This window comes from Homo sapiens, chromosome 7 (assembly GCF_000001405.40).
Source record: "Homo sapiens chromosome 7, GRCh38.p14 Primary Assembly".
NCBI lineage: Eukaryota > Metazoa > Chordata > Mammalia > Primates > Hominidae > Homo > Homo sapiens.
This window is the reverse complement of record NC_000007.14, coordinates 23722186-23746549: the sequence shown is the minus strand read 5'-3', so window position 1 is coordinate 23746549 and position 24364 is coordinate 23722186. Positions and strand designations below refer to the sequence as shown.

The following is a 24364-nucleotide window of genomic DNA, read 5'->3' as shown; positions in this document are numbered from 1 at the left end:
CAAGATGACTCACTAGAGGCCACTGTTATTTGCCTCCCTCTGAGAAAAGAGCCAAAATAGCAAGTAGATAATCACACTTCAAATAGATCATCTAAGAGAGAAATGGGACTTCAACAGAGAAGTGACAGGAAACACATAAAGGAAGGAAGGAGAAAGAAGAGAAGCAGCCTTCTTGGCTGGGAGCCTGGACAGGCTCCTCAATGCATAGAAGGGGTAAATGAGAGACCCCAGTGGCCCATATTCTCACTGCAAACTCCTGCAATTCTAGCCACGAAAGGGACCTTTGATCCTCATGTGCTCTGAGACACAGAGAGCTGCCCAGAGACTACACAAGTATATTGCTCCATACAGGGAGCTCATGTTGGGTCCCATACACCCACCCCCCAATCCTAAGCAACTACAGCATGCTGCCATTTTGTGTGCCCAGCCCCAAGTAGACTGCATCATGGTCTAGGGCCCAACATCCCCTACAACTCCACAACCCTGGAGCAAAGCTGACATCTCCTGCCCACAGCCACCACTGCAGCTGGCTGCAAGTACCCGCGAAGAGGTAGGAGCCACTGGCAGCAACCCTGTTCCCTACGGCAGAGGAACAGCCATACATCTTGATGGCCCTGAGGAAATGCTATCCTGCTTGCAGCCACCACCACTACTGGCTGCTGCTGCCACAGAATCAAAACACAAGCCACTGGCAGCCACTCTACGCCCAAGAAGGGCAACCATGCATTTTCACGGACCCAGAGGAAAGGCTACCCCATCCCACAACCACCATTGTCACTAGCTGCTGCCACACCTGAGGCCAAACTGCAAGCCACTGGCAGGAACCCCAACCCCACCAGCAGAAGGGTAGCCATGCATCTTCACATGACCCAAGGGAGGGCTACCCAACCCAGAACCTGAGGCAATGCTAGCTGCTGCTGCCACCAGTGTCAAAGTGTGAGCCATTTACAGTGACCCCGCTGCCCTAAGCAGCAAAGCTGCTGCACATTTTCACACACCCAAAGGACAAACTTTCCCACCTGCAGCTGCTGCCCTTGCAAACTGCCTCCACTGGAGCAAATGTAAGAGCAAAGTACATGTTCACCAGCCACCTCCACACATCTGCTGCCAGTGAAAGCAACCTCACCCTCCCCAGTGACAGGGCTGCAAAGCAACCACTGCCACCCCCACTCAAGCATTCCACTGGAAACCTGGGCATCATCCTGCACCTGCCTACCGCAATCAGAGTCTGCACTCACCACCTGGACCTGAGGACAGGTCCACTCTACCCAGCTCCATAACCCCTCTCACCAGTGTCTGAGCACACCACCCAAGGCCCTGGGTATCACCCAGCCCAGTCCACCATTGGTACCTCAACACTCCTCCCAAGGGCCCAAGGTCAGGCCTACCCAACCTGCCACTACCAACACAGCTGGCATCCACTTGCACATGCTACCTGTGGGCCTGACTGACCCACTCAGCACATCACAGCCAGCACTAACACCAGTGTAGACCACTTGGAAAGCACAGGGTTGTCAAGCCATTGCTACTATCACCCACATCGTGCCCACTGCCTAAGAGCCCAAGAACACACTCACCTGTCTGGCCCACCACTGCTGCTACTAGCACCCAAGCAAGACTCCTGGAAACCCAAGCACTGGCCAACCTGGGCTTTCTAACAGTAGTGCCAGCATGTGCTGTCCTGGAAACCAAGGACAAGCATACTTGGCCTGGCATTGCCACCATTGGGGTCTGAGGACTGGCAAACATGGCATTCCTTTACCCAGCAAAACTTCTCCGCAGCCCCCACTAACAACCACACCCTAAGCCATTGAGGAAATCACAAACGCCACTGACTATTCACATCCAAAGGAATCATACAAAGACTATGCTACTGCATGAACCCAGAATTAAAGCCAAAGGGCCCTACCCAACCAACACCATGGGTACATCTTCAGGAAAAGATCCTCCCCTACAAAATTATTTCCAAAAAATTGGAAGAAGCAACTGTTACACCCAATGCACAAATATCAATGTAACAAAAGAAACATGAGAAGACAAGAAAATATAACTCCAAAGGAAGTTAGTAATTCTCCACCAACAGATCATAATCAAAAAGAAATTCTGAAATTCCAGATGAAAAATCCAAAATACTGATTTTAAATAAGTTCAGTGAGATAAAAGATAATTCTGAAAAATAATATAAAGAAATCAGAAAAACAATTCAGGTTATAAATGAGAAATTTACCAAATAGGTATCATTAAAAAAAAAAAAAGAAATCCTAGAACTAAAGGATTCACCGAATGAAATACAAAATACATTCCAAAGCTTCAACAATATACTAGATCTAGGCCTGGCATGATGGCTCACGCCTATAATCCCAGCACTTTGGGAGGCTGAGGCAGGAGGATCACTTGAGCTCAGGGGTTGAGAAGAGCCTGGTCAACATAACAAGACCTCATCTCTAATAAAAATTTAAAATATTAGCTCAGCATGGTGGCATGCACCTGTAGTCCCAGCTACTCAGGAAGCTGAGGCAGGAGCACTGATTGAGCACAGAAGTTGGAGGCTGCAGTGAGCTGTGATTGTGCCACTGCACTCTATCCTGGGCAACAAAACAAAACCCTGCCTCAAAACAAAACAAACAACAACAAAAAATACTAGATCAAACAGAAGAAAGAATTTCAGAACTTAAGACAAGACTTTTGAACTAACCCAGTCAATCAAAAATTTAAAAAAAGAACAAAAAAGAATGAAAAAAGCCTACAAGACATATGAGACACCACACTGCAAACAAGTATTTGAATTTTCAATGTCACAGAAAAAGAGAAAAAAAGGGATCAAAAACTTCTTATATTTAATAAAATAGCTGAAAACTTCCCAAGTCTAGCAAGAGATTTAGACATTCAAATAAAAGAAGTTCAGAGATGCCTAAACAGATAAAATTCATAAAGGTCTTCTCCACAGCATATTACAGTCAACCTGTCAAAAGTCAAAGACAAAGATATTTCTAAAAACAGAAGGAAAAAGGCGTGTCATCAATTATAAGGAAACCCCCATCAGATTAACTGTAAATTTCTCAGTAAAATCCTTACAGGAGAGAATGAAACAATATATTCAAAGCGCTGAAAGGAAACTGCTAGTCAAGAATACTATATCCAGCAAAGTTGTCTTTCATGAATGAAGAAGTAGTAGTCTTTCCCAGGCAAGCAAAAGCTGAGGGAATTCATCAGCACTAGACCATCCCTACAAGAGATGCTTAAGGGAGGGCAATACACAATCTGTGATCATAAAAACACATGAAAGTTAAAAACCCAGCTGGACGCAGTGGCTCACGCCTGTAATCCCAGCACTTTGGGAGGCCGAAGTGGGCAGATCACCTGAGGTCAGGAATTCAAGACCAGCCTGGCCAACATGGTGAAACCCCGTTTCTACTAAAAAGTACAAAAATTAACTGGGCATGGTGGCAGGTCCTTATAATCCCAGCTACTCAGGGGGCTGAAGTAGGAGAACTGCTTGAACTTGGGAGGTGGAGGTTGCAGAGAGCCAAGACCGTGCCATTGCACTCCAGCCTGGGCGACAGAGCAAGACTCTGTCTCAAAAAAAAAAAAAAAAAAGTATAAAACCCACAGAGTAAAGCAAACACACAAGTAAAACAAGAAAGGAATCAAATGTTCCCACTACAGAAACACACCAAACCACAATGATAAACAATGAGTGAGAGAGAAAATAATCAAGATGGCCAACTAGATAGTGTGTGCCTTTTCCACAGGGAAGAATCAGAAATAGTTAAGTAGACACATTTTGAACAGACTAAGAATGAATATTTGGATTCACCAGAGAAGAGAGAGAAAGCCCCAGAAGTAAGAAAGGAGAGGGTTTGAGGAAGCATGCCTAGCCAGAAACCAGCTGAGAGCTGGGAAAGGCTACTGTACGCAGGGAAACAGTAAGAGAAAAATCCCCAGAGCTCTGAAACAAGCATTTACAACATTGGCTATAGGAGAAACCCTCGATCCACTAGGGCCTCACACCTCACATATGGAGCTGCCTAAAGATCACACAAAGACATTGTTCCAGAAAAGGAATCCACACAGAATCCCACAGGCACCCAAGTCTGGAGCAGCCTCAGCAGGGAGCCACTTTAAGAGTTTAGATACCAGGGACCTATAGACATGGCTGCAGCCACTGTACTGCTCCAAAAAAGGAGAGGGAGAACAAGCATGCCCATGCACCCCCAGGAGGATACTTGTCACCCTGCTACAAGCTGCTGTTGAGACTGAGACATAAGTAGATCATACTCCATACACCTTCTTGCTCATGCTGCTTGGCTGGGTGGTGACTCATTCTCTCTAGCCCCATGCCCAAGGCACCATTTTCTGAGTTCAATGCTGGGCTGAGTCCTGCCCTTGGCCTGAGTTTGGGCTGACACAGCCCCAGTCACTGCCCAGCAAAGGACCAACAGGGAAACCAGGCTACCCCACACATATCTATAGAATACCCACAGCCCTGCAATGGGCTGCTGTGAAACTGAGACACAATCAGACTACACTTCCCACAGCTTTTTGCCCATGCTGTTCACCAGGGTGGTGCCCCAGTATCCCAGGGCACAGGCCAAAAGTGTCACTTGGAGAGTTTAATTCTGAGCTGTGGCCCAACTTTGGCCTGACTTTAGGCTGACATGACTGCAGCTGCTGCCCAGCCAAGAAGGGGCAGAAAAGCCAGGCTCTCCTATGCACACCTGGGACAACACCCAAAGCTCTGCTATAGGCTGCTGTGAGACTTACACTTGAGTAGAACACACTCCCCACTGCTTCATATCCACACTGCTCACCTGAGAGGGGCCCCACCCTCTCTAGTTACAATACTACAGATGGCACCCTTATGAGAGTTTAGAGACATTGTTTGATGCCTGGCAGCAGTAGCCACAGCAGACATTCTAGTCTCTGGTCAGAGACTGGGGCACCTGCTCTGGAACAAAGGAGTCTCTTTGTTACCTGTGTCCCTGAAATTATTGGTAGAGCTTGATACTAGGTGAAATATCTGATTAATGATAGTTTCATCAGCCAATCTTGATGAGGGTGATTCAGGTTACATGAGAGTATACATACGTCAAAATTTATCAAGTTCTACACAGTATTTGTGCATTTTTACTATATGTAAATGATATCTCAATATAGCATTAGAAAATAATATTTCCTAACCCTATCAATTAGACATTCTATAACCTAGAAGCAAAGACTAAAGCAATAGCTATATATATCCCTAGCACCCAAAGTCTGGTATCTAAATACCTCTTGCCACTAAAAAGAACTATAGCTTGGAGAAATAACTTTTCCAGGATTAGGGTAGGAAATGCAGATGAGTATGGAACATCTTGTGACACCAGAAAACAAGGAAGCTATCAGACTACTGGAATCACATCAAAAGGACAGAGCAACAACTTAAAGAGACTTCCAAAGAGTATAAGATGGGCATCAAAAAGAATAATGGCTGCAGTGAATTAAAACACTCAAATATGTTTAAAATTCATTAGTTCATAATAATACTTAAGGAGAACAAATAACCCTTGCTGGTCAACACTGGACAATCCTAGGGAATAAACTTATTTTTCTGAAAACATGTACATATAAAGGGAATGAATAAAGTATTTATCTTGCCTTTACTGAACAAACTAGGCTTCAGCATGACTAAATAGTTGAAATTTTCCAGCTAAGAAATACAGCACCTGGCCAAAAAAAATGATGAGTTAATGTCCTTTGTAGGGACATGGATGAAGCTGGAAACCATCATTCTCAGCAAACTATCGCAAGGACAAAAAACCAAACACCGCATGTTCTCACTCATAGGTGGGAATTGAACAATGAGAACACATGGACACAGGAAGGGGAACATCACACATCAGGGACTGTTGTGGGGTGGGGGGAGTGGTGAAGGATAGCATTAGGAGATATACCTAATGCTAAATGACGAGTTAATGGGTGCAGCACACCAACATGGCACATGTATACGTATGTAACAAACCTGCACGTTGTGCACATGTACCCTAAAACTTAAAGTATAATAATAAAAACAAAAAAAAGAAATACAGCACCTGATGAAAACATGCTTGCAGACAACAACCATCGATGGCTGCAAAAATCATTAGGTCACAGATTAATGAAAAACTTAATAATGGTGATTTATCCATTATGAATATCAGCTGTTATGATGTCAAAAGGACACAGAAGCTAATTTAAAAAGACTTCAAAGGGGATAATGTGTGCATCAAAAAGAAAAAAAATGGCTTCAGTGGATTAAAACATGTCAAATGTGTTTAAAGTTCATTAATTTAGCAAGGCATGGTGGCTCGCCTGTAGTCCCAGCAACTCTGGAGCCAAAAGAGGAAGGATTGCTTGAGCCCAGAAGTTTGAGACCAGCCTAAGCAACACAGCAAACCCTGACTGTACAGAAAATACAATTCCATGCTCGTGGACAGGAAGAATCAATACCATGAAAATGGCCACACTGCCCAAAGTAATTGATAGATTCAATTCTATTCCCATCAAACTACCACTGACTTTCTTCACAGAACTAGAAAAAACTACTTTAAATTTCATATGGAACCAAAAAGAGCCCGTATAGCCAAGACAAACCTAAGCAAAATGAACAAACCTGGAGACATCACGCTATCTGACTTCAAACTATACTACAAGGCTACAGTAACCAAAACAGCATGCTACTGGTACCAAAACAGATATAAAGATCAATGGAACAGAACAAAGGCCTCAGAAATAACACCACACATCTACAACCATCTGATCTTCGACAAACCTGACAAAAACAAGCAATGGGGAAAGGATTCCCTATTTTATAAACGGTGTTGGGAAAACTGGCTAGCCATATGAAGAAAACTGAAACTGGACCCCTTCCTTACACCTTATACAAAAATTAACTCAAGATGGATTAAAGACTTAAATGTAAAACCCCAAACAGTAAAAACCCTAGAAGAACACCTAGGCAATACCATTCAGGACATAGGCATGGGCAAGGACTTCATAACTAAAACACCAAAAGCAATGGGAACAAGAGCCAAAATAGACAAATGGGATCTAATTAAACTAAAGAGCCTCTGCACAGCAAAAGAAACTACCATCAGAGTGTACAGGCAACCTACAGAATGGGAGAAAATTTTTGCAATCTGTCCATCTGACAAAGGGCTAATATCCAGAATCTACAAGGAACTTAAAATAAATTTATAAGAAAAAAACAACACCATCAAAAAGTGGGCAAAGAATATGAACAGGCACTTCTCAAAAGAAGACATTTATGCGGCCAAAAAACTATGACAAAAAGCCCATCATCACTGGTCATTAGAGAAATGCAAATCAAAACCACAATGAGATACCATCTCACTCCAGTTATAATGGCGATCATTAAAAAGTCAGGAAACAACAGATGCTGGAGACGATGTGGAGAAATAGGAACACTTCTACACTGTTGGTGGGAGTATGAATTAGTTCAACCATTGCGGAAGACAGTGTGGCAATTCCTCAAGGATCTAGAACAAGAAATACCATTTGACCCAGCAATACCATTACTGGGTATATACCCAAAGGATTATAAATCATTCTACTATAAAGACATATGCACACATATGTTTATTGCAGCACTATTTACAATGGCAAAGACTTGGAACCAACCCAAATGCCCATCAATGATAGACTGGATAAAGAAAATGTGGGCTGGGCACAGTGGCTCATGCCTGTAATCCCAGCACTTTGGGAGGCAGAGGTGGGTGGATCACCTGAGGAGTTCGAAACCAGCCTGGCCAACATGGTGAAACCCCGTCTCTACTAAAAATACAAAAATTAGCCAGACATGGCGGCGGGTGCCTGTAATGCCAGCTATCAGGAGGCTGAGGCAGGAGAATCGCTTGAACCTGGGAAGCAGAGGTTGCAGTGAGCCGAGATCATGCCATTGGGGATATAAATAAGGCAAGTTTGAGTTTAAAAAAAAAAAGAAAAGAAAACACAAAAATTAGCCAGGAATGGGGCACATACCTATAGTCCGAGCTAGGCAGGAGACTGAAGTGAGTGGATTGCTTGAGTCCGGGAGGCAGAAGTTGCAGTGAGCAGAAATTACACCACTGCACTCCAGCCTAAGCAACAGAGCAAGATGTTGCAAGACTGTCTCAAAACAAACAAACAAACAAAACCAAAATACTCTGAATGAGATTTGGGGAGCTTCTGGGTTGATAAACACATCCATGACCTGGGAGGGTGGCACACTCAGAAAGGGCATGGAAGCTCTGTACCTCCTGCCCCAGTACCTTGCCTTATATATATCTTCCATTTATTTGGCTGTTTCTGAGTTATATCCTTAATAATAAAACTGTAAGTATAGCACTTCCGTGAGTTCTGTGAGTAGTTCTAGTGAATTATCTAACCTGAGGGAGGGTCATGGGAAACCCCGAATTTATAGTGGGGGGGTAGATATGCAAGTAGCCTGGGGACCCCATTTGTGGCTGGCATCTAAAGTAGAGGCAGCTTTATGGAACTGAGTCCTTAACTTGTAGGGTATATGCTAAGTACAGGTAATGTAGTGTCAGAATGGAGCTGAATTATTAGACACCCAGTTGGTGTCAGAGAATTGGAGGAACTAGTGCAGGAACAACAGATTTGGTGTTAAACACACATACACACACACACACACACACACACACACACACACTTATCAACCACACTGTATCCCTGGGGGGGAAAATTTCTGAACTAAAATCTGAGCAAATCTGGAGACGTGATTACCATAAAAGAAGACACACGTGGAGATCAAGAATCCAGTTAAGCAACACAAGGAAACACATTAAAGCAATTTAAGAGAAATATCAACCAAAATGCAATGTATGTGCCTAACTGGGATCCTGATTGGAGAAAACTACAATCAACATGCCTACAATCATGTGGCATTCATGACACAATATGGCAAATTTGAATACTGCCTGGATATAAATAATATTAAGGAATTATTGTTTACTTTTAAGTATGAATAGTATTATTATTACGGTTTTTTAAAGTCCTTTTCTATTAGTCATACATACTGAAGACTATGAAATAATATGAATGGGACTTCTTCTAAAATAATCCAGGAAGTGTAAATTTTTAAAAAGATTGGCCATGTGTTATAATTGTATAAACTGGGTGATGGGCACATGAGAATTAATTATTCAAGTCTCTCTCCTTTTAGAATGTTTGAAAATTGCCTTAGTTGAAAAGTTTTTAGAACATAAAGGGAAATGTAAATGAGAAATTATTAAATTTGCAAACATCCAATGAAATCCAAAGATGATTAGTCTGGAGTATATGAAAAAAAATTCACCTATAAACAAATACAGGGATTAGCAAAGGAGAGAATGAGGTGGGGAAGGAAAGGAAAGTGACAGAAAAATAAATAGCAGCAGATGAGTACACAGATTTCCCAGTTGGACACTCTTCACCTTAAGCCACTGAACATACCTGCAGCTCCTGGGCAATCTGCTCTACTTTCAATTCTAACGCCTTATAACTTTCAAGAAGAGCGTCCTTCTCTGTTTTAAGTTTTTCATTTTCTTCAATCAGTTTCTGGTCCTGCTTAATTTTTTCCAGGCTGACGTTAGACCCTAAATTAAAGTCACCAACAGCCAAACTTTCCCTATAAAAACAAATTCATTTATTTTGACAAACAAACTGTATAAGGCTGACACAGAAAACAAATCTAAGTTATCTTGGTCCTTTTATGCCACAATATATCTGAAAGTTAATTTTGAAAACTAAAATATTTACCTAGTTCATAATATTAAAAAATAATTTAATGCAAACAAGATTTTATAACTGAAGTCGTAATTCAATAATGCCTCTAATTCTCAAAAAAAAATATTCCAACTTCTTCATAGCACTATCAACTACAGAGAACAAAGTAAAAAGCATTTCTGTATTAGTTTTTTTCCAGTCCCTCCTGTGATCCCCCCCCCGTGATCCCCCCGTCCTGTGATCCCCTGTGATCCCCCCGTCCACCGCCTCCCACCCCCATTTGACAGTTTAGCTCCTAAAGCACTGATGAGATCCCATCAAACAGCTATGTCATCCAAGATACAGCATCATGGCTTGGACCATGATATAGAAGACTGTTTTGATACATATAAATATCAAATCTGGATTTCTGCTTCAAGTTGATAATTTAAAATTATCTAAAAAGTAAAGTATTCGGAATAATCAAACTCCATCACAAGTTTTCACAAGAAGAAGAAAGAGCCTCACTTTTATTAAAAAAGTAAAGGCAATTTCCTGAAACTCTTTAAAATATTCCTAAAGCCATAGGAAGAACTTCAAATCTTATCTGAAATTCTGACTTTGCCTGAATAATTCAGATTTAGGAGCAGATTTTTATTTTTGATAAGTGTATTCCAAATAGTTGGCATGAAAAGTTGGTATGTAAACTTTAAAATAATTCAGGAGTTATTTTTCTTTCAAAATAGCTTTTAATGAAAATATCCCTGCTAAAGCAGAGAGGAATACATTTGAGAAAAACAGAAATATCAGCATCAGCCCTTAAAATCACTGACACAGTAAAGGATTCCAAAAGCATAAGCCTTAACTTCTATTCTACTATGACAGGGACCTCTACCATCAATTAGAAATTAGTGAAGACTAAATTCTTACTTTGGAAATGTTATAAGATTGCCTGCATCATTTTCATCCTTCAAGTCAAGAGTCATTTTCTCACTTAAGTGCCCCTTGGGCCTGCTGAAGGTTGACTGGTTTGATCTATGCCCCCACAAAGGAATGGGGCTTTTGAGGTTCCTGAGAACAAGTTGACCAGGATCCAATTTTTTTTCCTCACAGATGTCAGTTCTGGAAGCAAGTCTGCATTTCTCTGCAAATCCTTTCTTAAGCACCTCTTCCCCTATATCCACACTGCCATACTCAGCCTGAGCAATAACTGTTCCATCTTCAGAGGTTGCTTTAATTCTCATTTTTATTTCCTTTTCAAAAATCAAGCTCCCCAAAAAGGTTGTGCCCTAAGAAAGAAGAAAACATAAACCAGCTACACCAACATGTTTCTCTTCCCTTATTTTGTTCCTACCCATTTTTTCCAAGCATCATATTTCTTCATTCTAAAATCTCTATATTACTTTGCTGTTGGCTATAATATGCAAATATGCATCTCCACGTATATGAATGTATTCCAATTACACACTTGCTAAAATCAAGTAGAGCTAAATACTTGTACAGGCAGCCACCTTTATAAATCTAAAAATGTATACTAAGTAAATATCCTAGAATAGTTTTTTTTAACCCAGCAGATTACATTGATTACTTTGGCCCCAACTAAATATAATGGTCTCCTGAAAAGCAATAGCGCATAAAAATGAATCTCTGATATCTAGAAAAGGTACTCGATTTTACAAAACTTTGAAAGTTTTAGAGGCAGAGTCAGGAACTCTGGTTTTAAAGTAAGACGAGCAGAAGCAAAAAAAGCCACAAACCGAAAGCACAAAATACGAACAAATTCTTTAAAAATCAACAAACTGAAATTATAAAATGTGAGGTGTCACAAATACATATTCAAAACTTTGTTTTTCTTCTTTTTTGAGACAGAATCTCACTCTGTCGCACAGGCTGGAGTGCAGTGGCACAATCTCGGCTCATTGCAACCTCTGCCTCCCCGGTTCAAGCGATTCTCCTGCCTCAGCCTCCCCAGTAACCGGGACTACTGGCACACACCACCACACCTGCCTAATTTTTCTATTTTTAGTAGAGATGGGGTTTCACCGTGTCAGTTGAGCTGGTCTCAAACTCCTAACCTCAAGTGATCCGCCCACCTCGGCCTCCCAAAGTGCTGGGATTACAGGGGTGAGCCACCTCGCCTGGCCTTCTACATTCAAAACTCTCTTAAATAGACTTTTGCTTAAGAGGGCTACAACTGTACAACTGGCATATGAGAAATTAGGTGCTTGCTAACTTTGAGCTACTGAATATCTATCAATAGAACTAAGCAAAGATACACCTAAAACATATTTGGGATTGGAACATATTGAGACTTAATTTTAATAAGAACTTATCTACTCCTCCATAAAACTGTAATTACTAAAATTACTTTGACACAATCTAACTGCTCTTCCCAAATTTCTCTAGGTTATTTTCCTGAATTTCACCCTGTGCGTACTATAAAGGAAATTAAAAGTAAGTATTCTTTTTCGGAATATATAAAGCATAAACTTAAAACACAAAATGGGTAGGTACAGCTCAAATTTACTGGTTCACAACTTCCTTGAAATAGGGACATCATCTGATGAAACGTATCTCTCTTAGAAGGTGGAGCTGTATTTTTAGCTACATTCCCACTCTATAAATACAAAAAACAATATAGTTTATGCAAACAAAGCAAACCGAACAGGACATCATACCCGTAATAATCAGACAAACAAGAGTGTAAAAACACACTAAAAACCACAAAATACAAACCGGTCACATTTTTAAAAGAAATAGGGGGTGTGGGGAAGTCAAGGTCCAAGAAACTAAATAACATTTTTAAGAACTATTTTCTCTTCAACTACACAGTAGTATAGAGGGTAAAATTGAGACCGATGTAGGAATTCTTAACCTTTTTGTGGCCATGGGGCTCCTTTATCAGTCAGGTGAAATCTTTGGACTTTTTCTCAGAATGTTTTTAAATGTATGAAATACATAGGATTACAAAAAAAATTATTTCATTGGGACACATTTTTTTTTTATTTTTTTATTTTTTGAATGGAGTCTGGCTTTGTCGCCCAGGTGGGAGTGCAGTGGCGCTATCTCGGCTCACTGCAAGCTCCATCTCCCAGGTTCACACCATTCTCCTGCCTCAGCCTCCCAAGTAGCTGGGACTACAGGCACCCACCACCATGACCAGCTAATTTTTTGTATTTTGTAGTAGAGATGGGGTTTCACCATGTTAGCCAGGATGGTCTCGATCTCCTGACCTCGTGATCCGCCCACCTCAGTCTCCCAAAGAGCTGGGATTACAGGCGTGAGACACCGCACCCAGCTGACACATTTATTTTAACAACAGGTTGAGGATACCTGGGCCTACAAGGATGCATCTGAAGGGGCAGAGAAGGAGACTCAAACTACATATGCTCAAGAATCACCAACTATCACTACCCAAAAAAAAAAAAAAAAAGAATTTTTTAGATGGGGTCTTGCTATGTTTGCTCAAGCTGGTCTTGAACTCCTGGGCCCAAGCAATCCTCCCACTTCAGCCTCCTAAGTAGCTGTGATTACAGGCACACACCCTGTGCCTAGCTGAAAAAATAATTTTTTAAATCCACAAAACACGAAAATACTTTAGGTTAACAAACACACAGGTTTTATAAATTTTTCAAGGCATAAAATTCCTATAATACTTTAGGTTAACAAAAACACAGGTTTTATAAATTTTCCAAGGCATAAAATTCAGAAATACACACATTATATCAAGAGGTTTGAATTCACCAAGAATTCAATATATTATATCAATATATTATATCAATTATATCAGTATAAATAACAAATACAGTCCAGAAGTTATCACCAATCAAATGGGATCAAGCAGGCAAAGCTAACAACCTCAAAATATAACTAACTGAAATATATGTTAGGATTTTAATCAATTAGATGTAGTTTTCCAGTTAACCTCTTTCACATAAAAACCCTTGCTTTCAACTCTTATTATCAAAAGTCTATCTAAAATTCAAGAACAACTTCTGCCCCTAGGAAGTCTTTGAAAATTATTGCTGGTATATGTGGAATTATTAATATTTCAAGAAACCCTGTCTTTGGGCAATACGTGAATTCAAATGGAAATAACCTATTGTCTACAAAAGTTTCAATTACCTAAAGCTGAATGTTCTAAAGGTCCATTACTCCTTGCATAGAATTTTTATGCAGAAATCTAATTTTAGATTTCTCTCTGAATTCAAATTCATTTTAGTTACAGTCACCAATCACAATTAGTATGAAGTGGTTCAAACAGATTCTCCCTGAATCATATATAATCATAAACACAGAACCCTGAACTTGAAATAAAATCTGAGTCTTCCTCAGTTCCAACTAACAAAAAGAATGACAGAGTATATGATACATGGGTGTTTTAATACTATACCAAAAATATGTATGTTTTCTCTTTATATATAATACATATAAACATTTAATTTTTATCATAAGAAATATATTTTCCACTAACCCTTATGAGCTGGAGATATATACCTGCACTTAAAAAATATATTTAGGCATTTAAAAGGTATAAAACTTAACTTTTATCTTTTTTTTTTCAGACAGGGTCTCACAGCCTTGACCCCTCAAGCTCAAGCAATCCTCCCACCTCAGCCTCCTGAGTAGCGGGGACTACAGGCATGCGCCACCATGCCCAGCTAATTTTTTTGTATTTTTTATACAGACAGGGTTTTCCCATGTTGCCCAAGCTGGTCTCAAACTCCTGGACTCAAGCCATCCACCCACTTCAGCCTCCGAAAGTGCTGGGCTTACAGGCATGAGCCACCGCACTGGACAAAACTTAACTTTTTAAAATAAATCTGGTCACTGGTTTAGAACATAAGGCTTTCAATCATTAAAAAAGATGAATGTCACTTTTTAGAAATATATTTCATTCTGTTTTCCAAACTGGTAAGCTTCATTCAGAAACAAGAAAGGATCACTTGCTTTCTACTTTATTCCTCTGAATTCTGCCTGTATATATTAGAAAACAAGCTAAAAGGCCTTTAAATTGTTAAACACAAATTCCAAGCTCTAGCTCTCATTCCCTTACCCTACATATAATTTTTAAAGTCAGGCATGTAGGACTAGTAATGTAATATTCTCTCGATCTTCAGCAAACTACCATTCTGAGCATCAATTCTGACTGTGCTGCAGCATAGCGTGAAAGTGTTAGTTAAAAAAATGTGAAGGAATTTCAGTGCCCAGGACACCTTCTGGAAAAGGGGAAGGAAGGAGGTATTTGTGTTGTTACTGAATCCCTGCTGTTCATCTATTTATTCAAATGTTAGATAAACTAATGCTCATCTAACACCTACCTGGCAGGGAAATTAGGCACAGAAAAGTGAATACTTATCTCTACCAAACTCACTAAGCTTGTAGGGGAGGAAAAAATTACAACTTTATAGGCTTTATATACGGAGTGACTAAAACACCACAGAGGACCGGGTAAGTGGGTATTAGCAAAGACTTCATATAGAAGATTAGAGTTGAGCTTTGGGCTGAGAATTAATAACTAAACACGGACTTTCTAAGCAGAGCTATTCAAGAATAGCTCATTTTTTTCCAGAAAACATTGTGTGCCAATTAGCTTAACTCTAATCAATGATCTTTTTACTGAACTAAGCATCCAAATACAAATGTTTAGCCGGGTGGCTCATGCCTGTAATCCCAGCACTTTGGAAGGCAGAGACAGGGGGATCTCTTGAAGTCAGGAGTTCAAGACCAGCCTGGCCAACATGGTGAAACCCCACCTCTACTAAAAATACAAAAATTAGCCATGCGTGGTGGCGGGTGCCTGTAATTCCAGCTATCAGGAGACTGAGGCAGGAGAATCGCTTGAACCCAAGAGGCGGAGGTTGCAGTGAGCCGAGATCATGCCATTGCACTCCAGCCTGGGCAACAGAGCAAGACTTCAACCCCCAACCAAAAAAAAAAAAAAAAAATATATATATATATATATATATAAATGTTTATATACAGTACCATATATAAAGAATCTTTGAAACATACAAAAACATTCTCAGCTGCAGTTTATTAATTCAGTTCTAAAATTAACTTTTTTTAATGTCTTTTTCCCCCTTGATTCATGTGTGTTTCAATCAACACAAATCTGTGCATTTTACTATGAAAAGAACAACAGACTTGAGTTCTAGGCCTAGCTCTTCCCTAGTTAGCTTCACGACTTGAAGTCATTTAATTATTCTAGACTACAATTTCCCTATATGTAAAACAAAGTGAGAGCAGATAATATTCTAAGGTCCGTAAACAAGATTTTAGAGTTTTATGCATGCAAGAAATCCAAAACAAGCCTCCCCAACCTTGGTCAAAGCATTTATATTAAAGAAGAAAGTAACAAACTTTAGATTTTAAACCAGAAACTTGGGGTGTAATTTTATAATATCTATATTTCATGTTTATGAAAGCCTGAGTTTCATGTACAGAAATGTTTTTTATAAGTAACTACATAGCAGACAAAACTATACCCAACACACCTACAAGATTCTCAAAGAAAAATAGAGGCAATTTTAATTAATTTCTTTATAATGCTTACAATGATTAAACTGTTTTCCACATGAGCTACTTGAGCTGCTATTATAAATAAGAATTACAAATCTGATTACTTTCCAATGTAATATCTCTCACCAGCATTACCATTTACCAAAAGAATCATCTTTGTATAACAGATTTTAAAAGAGGTAGAATTCCTGTAAGACTACCCCTGAAATTATCGAACGTCTTCCAGAATTAGGTTACCAACCCAAAATTCAATGGAAAGTAATATAAACTAGAATCCACATAAGCAAAACATCCACTGCCAATTATTACATCAAACAGTATGAGCCTCTGCCAAAATAATACAATCTGATTAATTATAACCCCATTAATTTCAAATTTGTGGTATTTATGGCCAGGACTAGGTAAAGATCACTTTTATTTAATAAATACTTTCCCAAAACAATTATAGAAATAACTGTATTCATTATTTTCTCCATCATATAAGAGACTATCCTTGGCTGGGCGCAGTGGCTCATGCTTGTAATCCCAGCACTTTGGAAGGCCAAGGTGGGTGGATCACCTGGGGTCAGGAGTTCGAGACCAGCCTGGCCAACATGGTAAAACCCCAACTCTACCAAAAATACAAAAATTAGCTGGACATGGTGGCACAGGCCTGTAATCCAGCTATTCGGGAGGCTGAGGCAGAAGAATTGCTTGAACCTGGGAGGCAGAGGTTGCAGTGAGCCGAGATCACGCTACTGCACTCCAGCCTGGGCAACAGAGTCAGACTCTGTCTCAAAAAAAAAAAAAAAAACAAAAAGAGACTATCCTTTTAAACATTTACATCAGAAGGAAACTATTTACATATATTATATATGTGTATGTCATTCTTATCTGTTCAATGTTTACCTAGCAAAGATGAGCATAAATATATAATTGCTTTCTAATTATAATTCCTATTTTTCACTAATTTATACAGACTTTTATATTAAAGTAAGATTTAACTATACCTACATTTTGTTTCAAGCACATAGTTTTACTTTCATTAGCAAAAATATTTAAAATACGTGACTTGCCTGATCAAACTGGGTAACTTCTTGATCAGAAGGAATGTGTAGTCCCCAAAGTTTATACTTTTTGGCAACACTAGAAAACTGCAGCTCCAAAGGAATTTCAACTATATCAGATCGATTTAGAATTTCAGTATTTCCATAGTCAATGTACCTCACCAGACACTGGAAAAAATAAGAGACAAATACGAATACTGACCCCAGATTAAATGTTTCCAAAGAAACCACCAATTTGCTGCTCTCTGTTAATGACCTGTATATCAAAATAGCATTCTTACCTCAAAATGACAAAATACATTCAGAAACAGATTTCTAATATCTTCAAAATAAAAAAAAAATCCACAGTCCATGAAATTACAGTGATTTCTTTACTTGTTACTAGTTAAATTCCAACAGTACCATTTCTCATTAGGGTGCTTTTTGTTTTTAGACAATTGATATTTTAAATAAACATCAGCCTATGAAGCTTACAGCCCTCTCCTGTTTCTCCTAATGTTAAAATCAATCAACATTCAATTCAATTTCAAGTTGGAAAGAATAAAATCTGAAAAGAAAGGCAAAGTTATCAAACTTCCTTTGACACAATTAAACTCACTCCAGGTAGACCATGTAAACTAATCAGATTCACCACCCTTACCTCCAGCTCTACATCTGTTTAAAAAGTAAAAAAGAAAAATAGTTATTACAAGGTCAAACATCATGCTGCCCTTTAATTTAAAAAATTAAAGCCAACTGAAAAACATATGTAAAATATCATCTCCAGTTGTCAAATTATGGGAGAAAGGTCAATTAGAAAGTTCCATTCCACTAAAATAAACCATTTTCTATGACAGCAAAAAATGAAATTTTTTTAAACCAAGCTATTCAGAATATTAATCAAATTGTCACATCTTAGCATCTTATCACACCAAAGAAAATATTTCTGAAACATACATATTTTTAACTTTTTCTCTTTTATCCTGAACCACTTTCCCTGGTTCAGTAAAAACATACATATTATAATTTAAGTACAGAAAGGAGGTGTAGAAAAAACACCAAAGGAAATCTTACAGAGGTGCTTTCACCCAGCCTGCAATATGCAACTGTCACCAAACAGCTATTCAGAATTCTGTCTCCCTAAATCCTCTTAAAAATCCTCCACAAATTCACAATGTCAAAAAAAAAAAAAAAAAAAAAAAAAAAAGCTTAACACAAAGAAAACTCACCACATTTAACCCAGGCATAAGAAAGTGGCAAGCCAATCATTATTATTAACAATATTCACATCAACTAAATAAAAGATATACCTAACTTCAGAAGAATCAATCAAAATGTTCTTCTCCTACTTATAAAGCTTAATAAAATGAACATTTAAAAGTTACTCAAGAACCAAATATAATTATTAAGATCTGAGGCAGGCTGGGCACAGTGGCTCACTCCTGTAATCCCAGCACTTTCGGAGGCTGAGGCGGACGGATCACCTGAGGTCAGAAGTTCGACCAGCCTGACAAACATGGTGAAACCCCGTCTCTACTAAAAATACAAAAATTAGCCAGTGTGTTGGTGGGCGCCTGTAATCCCAGCTACTTGGGAGGCTGAGGCAGGAGAATAGCTTGAACCTAGGAGGCAGAGTTTGCAGTGAGCCAAGATCGTACCACTGCACTCCAGCCTGGGCGACACAGAAAGACTCCATCTCAAAAAAAAAAAAAAAAAAAAAAAAGAACTGAGGTAAAAATAACTAGTCACCAAAAATAACCTACATATTATATAATCTATTCTTGAATAATCTGAGGTGATTATAAAACAACATGTTTTTTAGCAATTAATTTCTTCTGTGTTTTAATCACTGAACCAGGTATCAGTACTACGAATAAGCAATGAAGGGCTAAATAAGCATCAAATTTTTGAACCACAATAAATATTTCTTAAAGCAAAAAAAAACTGAACACTTAATTTCCTGCCTTTTCAACGCTGATGATTTTCAGTACTTTGCATCTGTACCAACACTGATCTTCAGAAAATAATCCACCATAAATCTACAAAGAGAAAAGAAAGCAAAATTACTTGGCATTTAAAGCATGGTGAACAGATCAGAATAAAGGTTAGCATTTAAGCTCTTCCTATATGTCAATAAGTACTTTATATATAACTCATTTAATTCTCACAATCCTATCAGGCAGGTACTTTGTTTATGCCACTATGTATCCAAAGACATAAACTAGTAAACTGCAGAACCAAGATTCAAACTTCTGACTTCAGAGTTCATTATGCTATTCTGCATCTCCAAAATGAGGAGGGAGGGGTATAAAAAGCAAAAAAAAAAATTTTTTAAGGCACAAGCATCAAACACTTAAAATCACACTATTATAATATCTGAGGCGATAATTGGTACAATTTTTTTTAACATAAACATGGCAAGTACATGCCACGTAAGTCTAACTCTCAACTATAGTGGAATTCATATTTCCTACCAAGCAAGAAAGATTTCATACTTTTTACTTTACGTATAAGGACATTAGTCCTATTAAGTAGATAAAACTAAATTAGATAATATCTTTAATACTGTACTTTATTTTATATCTCAATTGAATGATGTTTAATAAAAGAATAAAGAGAAAATTTATGTACTTTCAATCATTTTCTTTTCTTTTTTTTTTTTTGAGACAGGGTCTCATTCTGTCGCCAGGCCTGGAGTGCAGTGCAGCAGTCATGGCTCTCTGCTGACTCAACCTCTCCAAGCTCAAGTGATCCTCCCACCTCAGTCCCCACGGTAGCTGGGAACATGGGCACGCACCACCACGCCTGGGCTAAGTTTTGTATTTTTTTTTTTTTTTTTTTTTTTTTTTTGTAGAGGCAAGGTCTCACCATGTTGCCCAGGCTGGCTTTCATTTTCTCGAACTTCAAAGTAGCCTTAGCACTACTGGCACTTGGGACCAGATGAGTCTGTGTTGAGTGGCAGAGTGGGGCTGTCCTCTGTCCTGTGCATTGTAAGATATTTACCAACATCCCTTCTGGCCTCTAGACACTAGATGCCAGTAGCACCACTTCCAGTTGTGACAAGCAAAAACGTCTCCAAACACTGTCAAATGTCTCCTGAAGGTGTCTATGATTTAGATGGATATCATTTGGATATCATCCACCAAATCTCATGTTAAAATCTGATTCCCAATGTTGGAGGGGGGCCTGGTAGGAGGTGATTGGATAGTAGAGGCAGATCCCTAAAAACGGCTTGGTGCCATTCTCGTGGAAGTGAATGAGTTTTCACTCATAGTTCCTAAGAGAACTGGTTGTTGAAAAGAGCCTGGCACCTCTTCCTCCCTTTGCTTCCTCTCTCACCATGTAATCTACAGACACTGGCTCCTCTTCACCTTCTAATATTTGTGGAAGCACCCTGAGTCCCTTGTTAGAGTTGTATAAAAAGCAAAAAGACTTTTTTTAGAAGACACAGGCATCAAACACTTAAAATCATACTATTTTAATGTCTGAAGACATAATTGGTATAATTTTTTTAAAACATAAACATGCGAAGTACATGCCACTTAAGTCTAACTCTCAACTATACTATGTTGGAGTTATGCTTTTTGTACAGCCTACAGAACCATGAGCCAAATAAACCTCTTTTCTTTATAAATTACCCAGTCTCAGGTATTTCTTTACAGTAACAAAAATGAAGTAAGCCATGATTGGATTGGGAAGGATACAAAAATCACTGCAGGCTGATAACTACTTTTTTTGAGATAAGGTTTTACTCTGTTGTCCAGGCTGGAGTGCAGTGGCATGATCATAGCTCACTGTAGCCTCAAACTTCTGGGCTCACACAATCCTCCCGCTTCAGCCTCCCAAATATCTGGGGTTACAGGCACACATACCATACCTAGCTTTTTTTTTTTTTTTTTTTTTTTTTGTAGAAACAGGGTCTCACTATGTTGCCCAAGACTGGTTTTGAACTCCTGGCCTCAACCAATCCTCCTGCCTCGGCCTCCCAAAGTGCTGGGATTACGGGCATGAGCCCCCATGCCTGGCCTTAACAGCTTTAAATCATACATTCTCAACTGGGGCAATATCCCTAAGGGGAATAAAAGTGGTCCTTATGGAGAGTTGGAAATCTTAAACACTACAATGGTCTGTAGCCCTCCAAAGTTCAACCCTACTGATAACATAGTTATTATATACTGTATATCTGTAGTATTAAAATATCTGAAGGGGAGAAGGCCCATTAGGCCATTAGGGAGAAAACAGGTCTAAAAATGCTCCTTAGGAGGGAATAATGAGAAAAATGGCTGAAGAATACTGCTTTAAGTTATGGATTATAAAATTAATTTCAATGTATCACTCTGAACTAGGACAAATCCACAGATTTATTTTATGAAACCTAAACACCAAACCTATTCACCAAAACAATAAAGAACACATAAATTCAGACAAACAAATAAATAAATAACAATTCAAAAGCTACAAAGGATAAGTGTATTCAATTCATAATTAACTCCGGTTTCTTCAGCTAACATTAAACAACTAAAGGGCAAGAGAGAGCAGTAATAGTACGGTACTCTCTCTCAACCCTGGTAAGAAGACAGGGGTAAGTAGCAAAAATAGCTGACAATCAACAGTCCTAACCAATTTCAATCCCTGCAAAAGACTGCATCATCTTTAATTAAGGCTTTGTAATAACATCACAATATGATTAATAATTTGGTATAAGGTAAGCGACAGATATGCAATGGTTTATTGCAAACCAGGTGAGGCAGGGCTGGGAACACTTGTGTCCAAGAATAGAGCTGGTACTGTAATGCCTAACCTTGTTTTTACTCTAACTCGCTACTTTAAATTTTGTCCTGTTTGTCTCTTTAATCACCTAGCCTTGCTTCTCAAGTAAGACTCTCTCTAGCTGGGAAAGCCGGACAAACTCCAATTGACCCCTTAATTTACAAGACACTAAGGGCTCCTTACCCAACCTCCTTCCGCAAGGAGTTGACCTGTGTAAGCAGATCCTCAGCATTTCAAAGGAGCCCAATTAACTGATAAGGTACTGGCACAAACAATGTATGAAGTTCCCAGGATTTTTTTCAAAGAGATAACAACATAAAGCCTTGAGTTCCTGTCCGGCATAGCATTTATATCTAATTATAATGAAGGATTTAGAGCCCTGCACCTGGTACCTTGCTTTTTGTAACCATTTGTCTTTTAAATTGTTTATCTCTCTGTAACCATTTGCTTCTTTTGATTCTTGCATGTTTTTACTTCTGTAGAATTACTGCATTTGAGTTCCCCTCCCCTTCCTAAACCAAGGTATGAAAGTTAATCAAGCCCCTTCCTCCGGGCCGAGAGAATTTTGAGCATTAGCCGTCTCTTTGGCCGCCAGCTTAAATAAAGGACTCTTAATTCGTCTCAGAGTGTGGCGTTTCTCTAACTCGCCTAGGTATAACAGTACTCAACAAAGTGAAGAATCTGAAGTTCGTGGCTCTGTTAGTGTAATACAACCACCAAAACATGTAAATCTATCCCAGATAGACTTATCTGTTCTCATGACATAGTGAAAACTATATATTCACTCTCATTGTGCCTGGGCCCAATCTTCTCCTCCCACAACTCCACTATTCATAGCCTATGACCCTTCTACATGGTGGCAGAGGGAGAGAACCATTTAGATCACTAAGGAAAACTGACAAAGTATAATCCATTTATGAACAATCAGAAGTAGCTGATTAATCACTTAATTACTGACACTTGTTTAAATTTTTGATAAGGTAATTAATTTTATATTCAATAGAAGAAAAGGAGTATGTCTTAATTTATAACAATATTAAACACAGTCATAGGTCAGGCACAGTGGCTCACACCTGTAATCCCCCCATAAAAAAAATTTTAAAAATTGAGGAATGAGTTGGCTCCAATGATGGGTCTCAGATGGGCTAATTTTTATAGACATAGTCTCTGAAAGAAATCTGTCAAGGAATCATATAGAGACACTTATCTGCATGCTCATTCTCCATTAATATAGAAAGGAGAATTGGCATTAGACTGTTTCAGCAAATAAAAGTAAAATCAAGATTTATAAAGAAAAGAGGAGAGAGAGGTTCCAAGATGGCCGAATAGGAACAGCTCCAGTCTGAAGCTCCCAGTGTGAGCGACGCAGAAGACGGGTGATTTCTGCATTTCCAACTGAGGTACCGGGTTCATCTCACTGGGGCTTGTCAGACAGTGGGTGCAGCCCACGGAGCAGGGCAGGTATCGCCTCACCCAGGAAGTGCAAGGGGTCAGAGAATTCCCTTTCCTAGCAAAGGGAAGCCATGACAGATGGTACCGGGAAATTCGGGACACTCTCACCCTAATACTGCACTTTTCCAATAGCCTTAGCCAACAGCACACGAGGAGATTATATCCCACGCCTGGCTCCGAGGGTCCCATGCCCACGGAGCCTCGCTCACTGCTAGCACAGCAGTCTCAGATGAACTGCAAGGCGGCGGCGAGGCTGGGGGAGGGGCGTCCGCCACTGCTGAGGCTTGAGTAGGTAAACAAAGCCACCGGGAAGCTTGAACTGGGTGGGGCCCACCACAGCTCAAGGAGGCCTGCCTGCCTCTGTAGACTCCACCTCTGGAGGCAGGGCATAGCTGAACAAAAGGCAGCAGAAACTTCTGCAGACTTAAACGTCCCTGTCTGACAGCTTTGAAGAGAGTAGTGGTTCTCCCAGCATAGACTTTGAGATCTGAGAACAGACAGACTGTATCCTCAAGTGGGTCCCTGACCCCCGAGTAGCCTAACTGGGAGGCACCCCCCAGTAGGGGCAGACTGACACCTCATACAGCCGGGTGCCCCTCTGAGACGAAGCTTCCAGAAGAACGATCAGGCAGCAACATCTGCCATTCCGCAATATTTGCTGTTCTGCAGCCTCCGCTGGTGATACCCAGGCAAACAGGGTCTGGAGTGGACCTCCAGCAAACTCCAACAGACCTGCAGCTGAGGACGTGAAGGTCCTGACTGTTAGAAGGAAAACTAACAAACAGAAAGGACATCCACACCAAAACCCCATCTGTACGTCACCATCATCAAAGACAAAAAGTAGATAAAACCACAAAGATGGGGAGAGACCA

The 24364-nt window shown here is 39.6% G+C and overlaps 1 protein-coding gene across 9 annotated transcripts in view, besides 2 other annotated features; it reads right to left on the bottom strand.

Moving 5' to 3' along the window:
• STK31 (serine/threonine kinase 31) overlaps window positions 1–24364 on the bottom strand; it is a 122432-nt gene that overhangs the window by 85964 nt on the left and 12104 nt on the right. For 7 of the 9 annotated variants that reach the window (NR_048542.2, XM_011515449.4, NM_001260504.2 and 4 more), the window contains exons 5-8: window positions 19235–19309; window positions 17301–17459; window positions 10654–11012; window positions 9472–9646 (exon numbers count right to left, since the gene is read on the bottom strand). Coding sequence is in view for 8 of the 9 variants with exons in the window: in XM_011515449.4 (XP_011513751.2) it covers window positions 9472–9646; window positions 10654–11012; window positions 17301–17459; window positions 19235–19309 (768 nt within the window). In the remaining variant the exon portion in view is untranslated. The remainder of the gene's footprint in view (window positions 1–9471; window positions 9647–10653; window positions 11013–17300; window positions 17460–19234; window positions 19310–24364) is intronic. The other 2 variants (XM_011515452.4, XM_006715758.5) reach the window with 1 other exon arrangement.
• Window positions 21959–22486: an enhancer, noted in NCBI's record as "OCT4-NANOG hESC enhancer chr7:23763683-23764210 (GRCh37/hg19 assembly coordinates)". NCBI's record gives its function as "activates a minimal SCP1, AML or CMV promoter by ChIP-STARR-seq in primed H9 embryonic stem cells {active_cell/tissue: H9 hESC(primed)}" and the evidence as "EXISTENCE:reporter gene assay evidence [ECO:0000049][PMID:30033119]".
• Window positions 22487–23014: an enhancer, noted in NCBI's record as "NANOG hESC enhancer chr7:23763155-23763682 (GRCh37/hg19 assembly coordinates)". NCBI's record gives its function as "activates a minimal SCP1, AML or CMV promoter by ChIP-STARR-seq in primed H9 embryonic stem cells {active_cell/tissue: H9 hESC(primed)}" and the evidence as "EXISTENCE:reporter gene assay evidence [ECO:0000049][PMID:30033119]".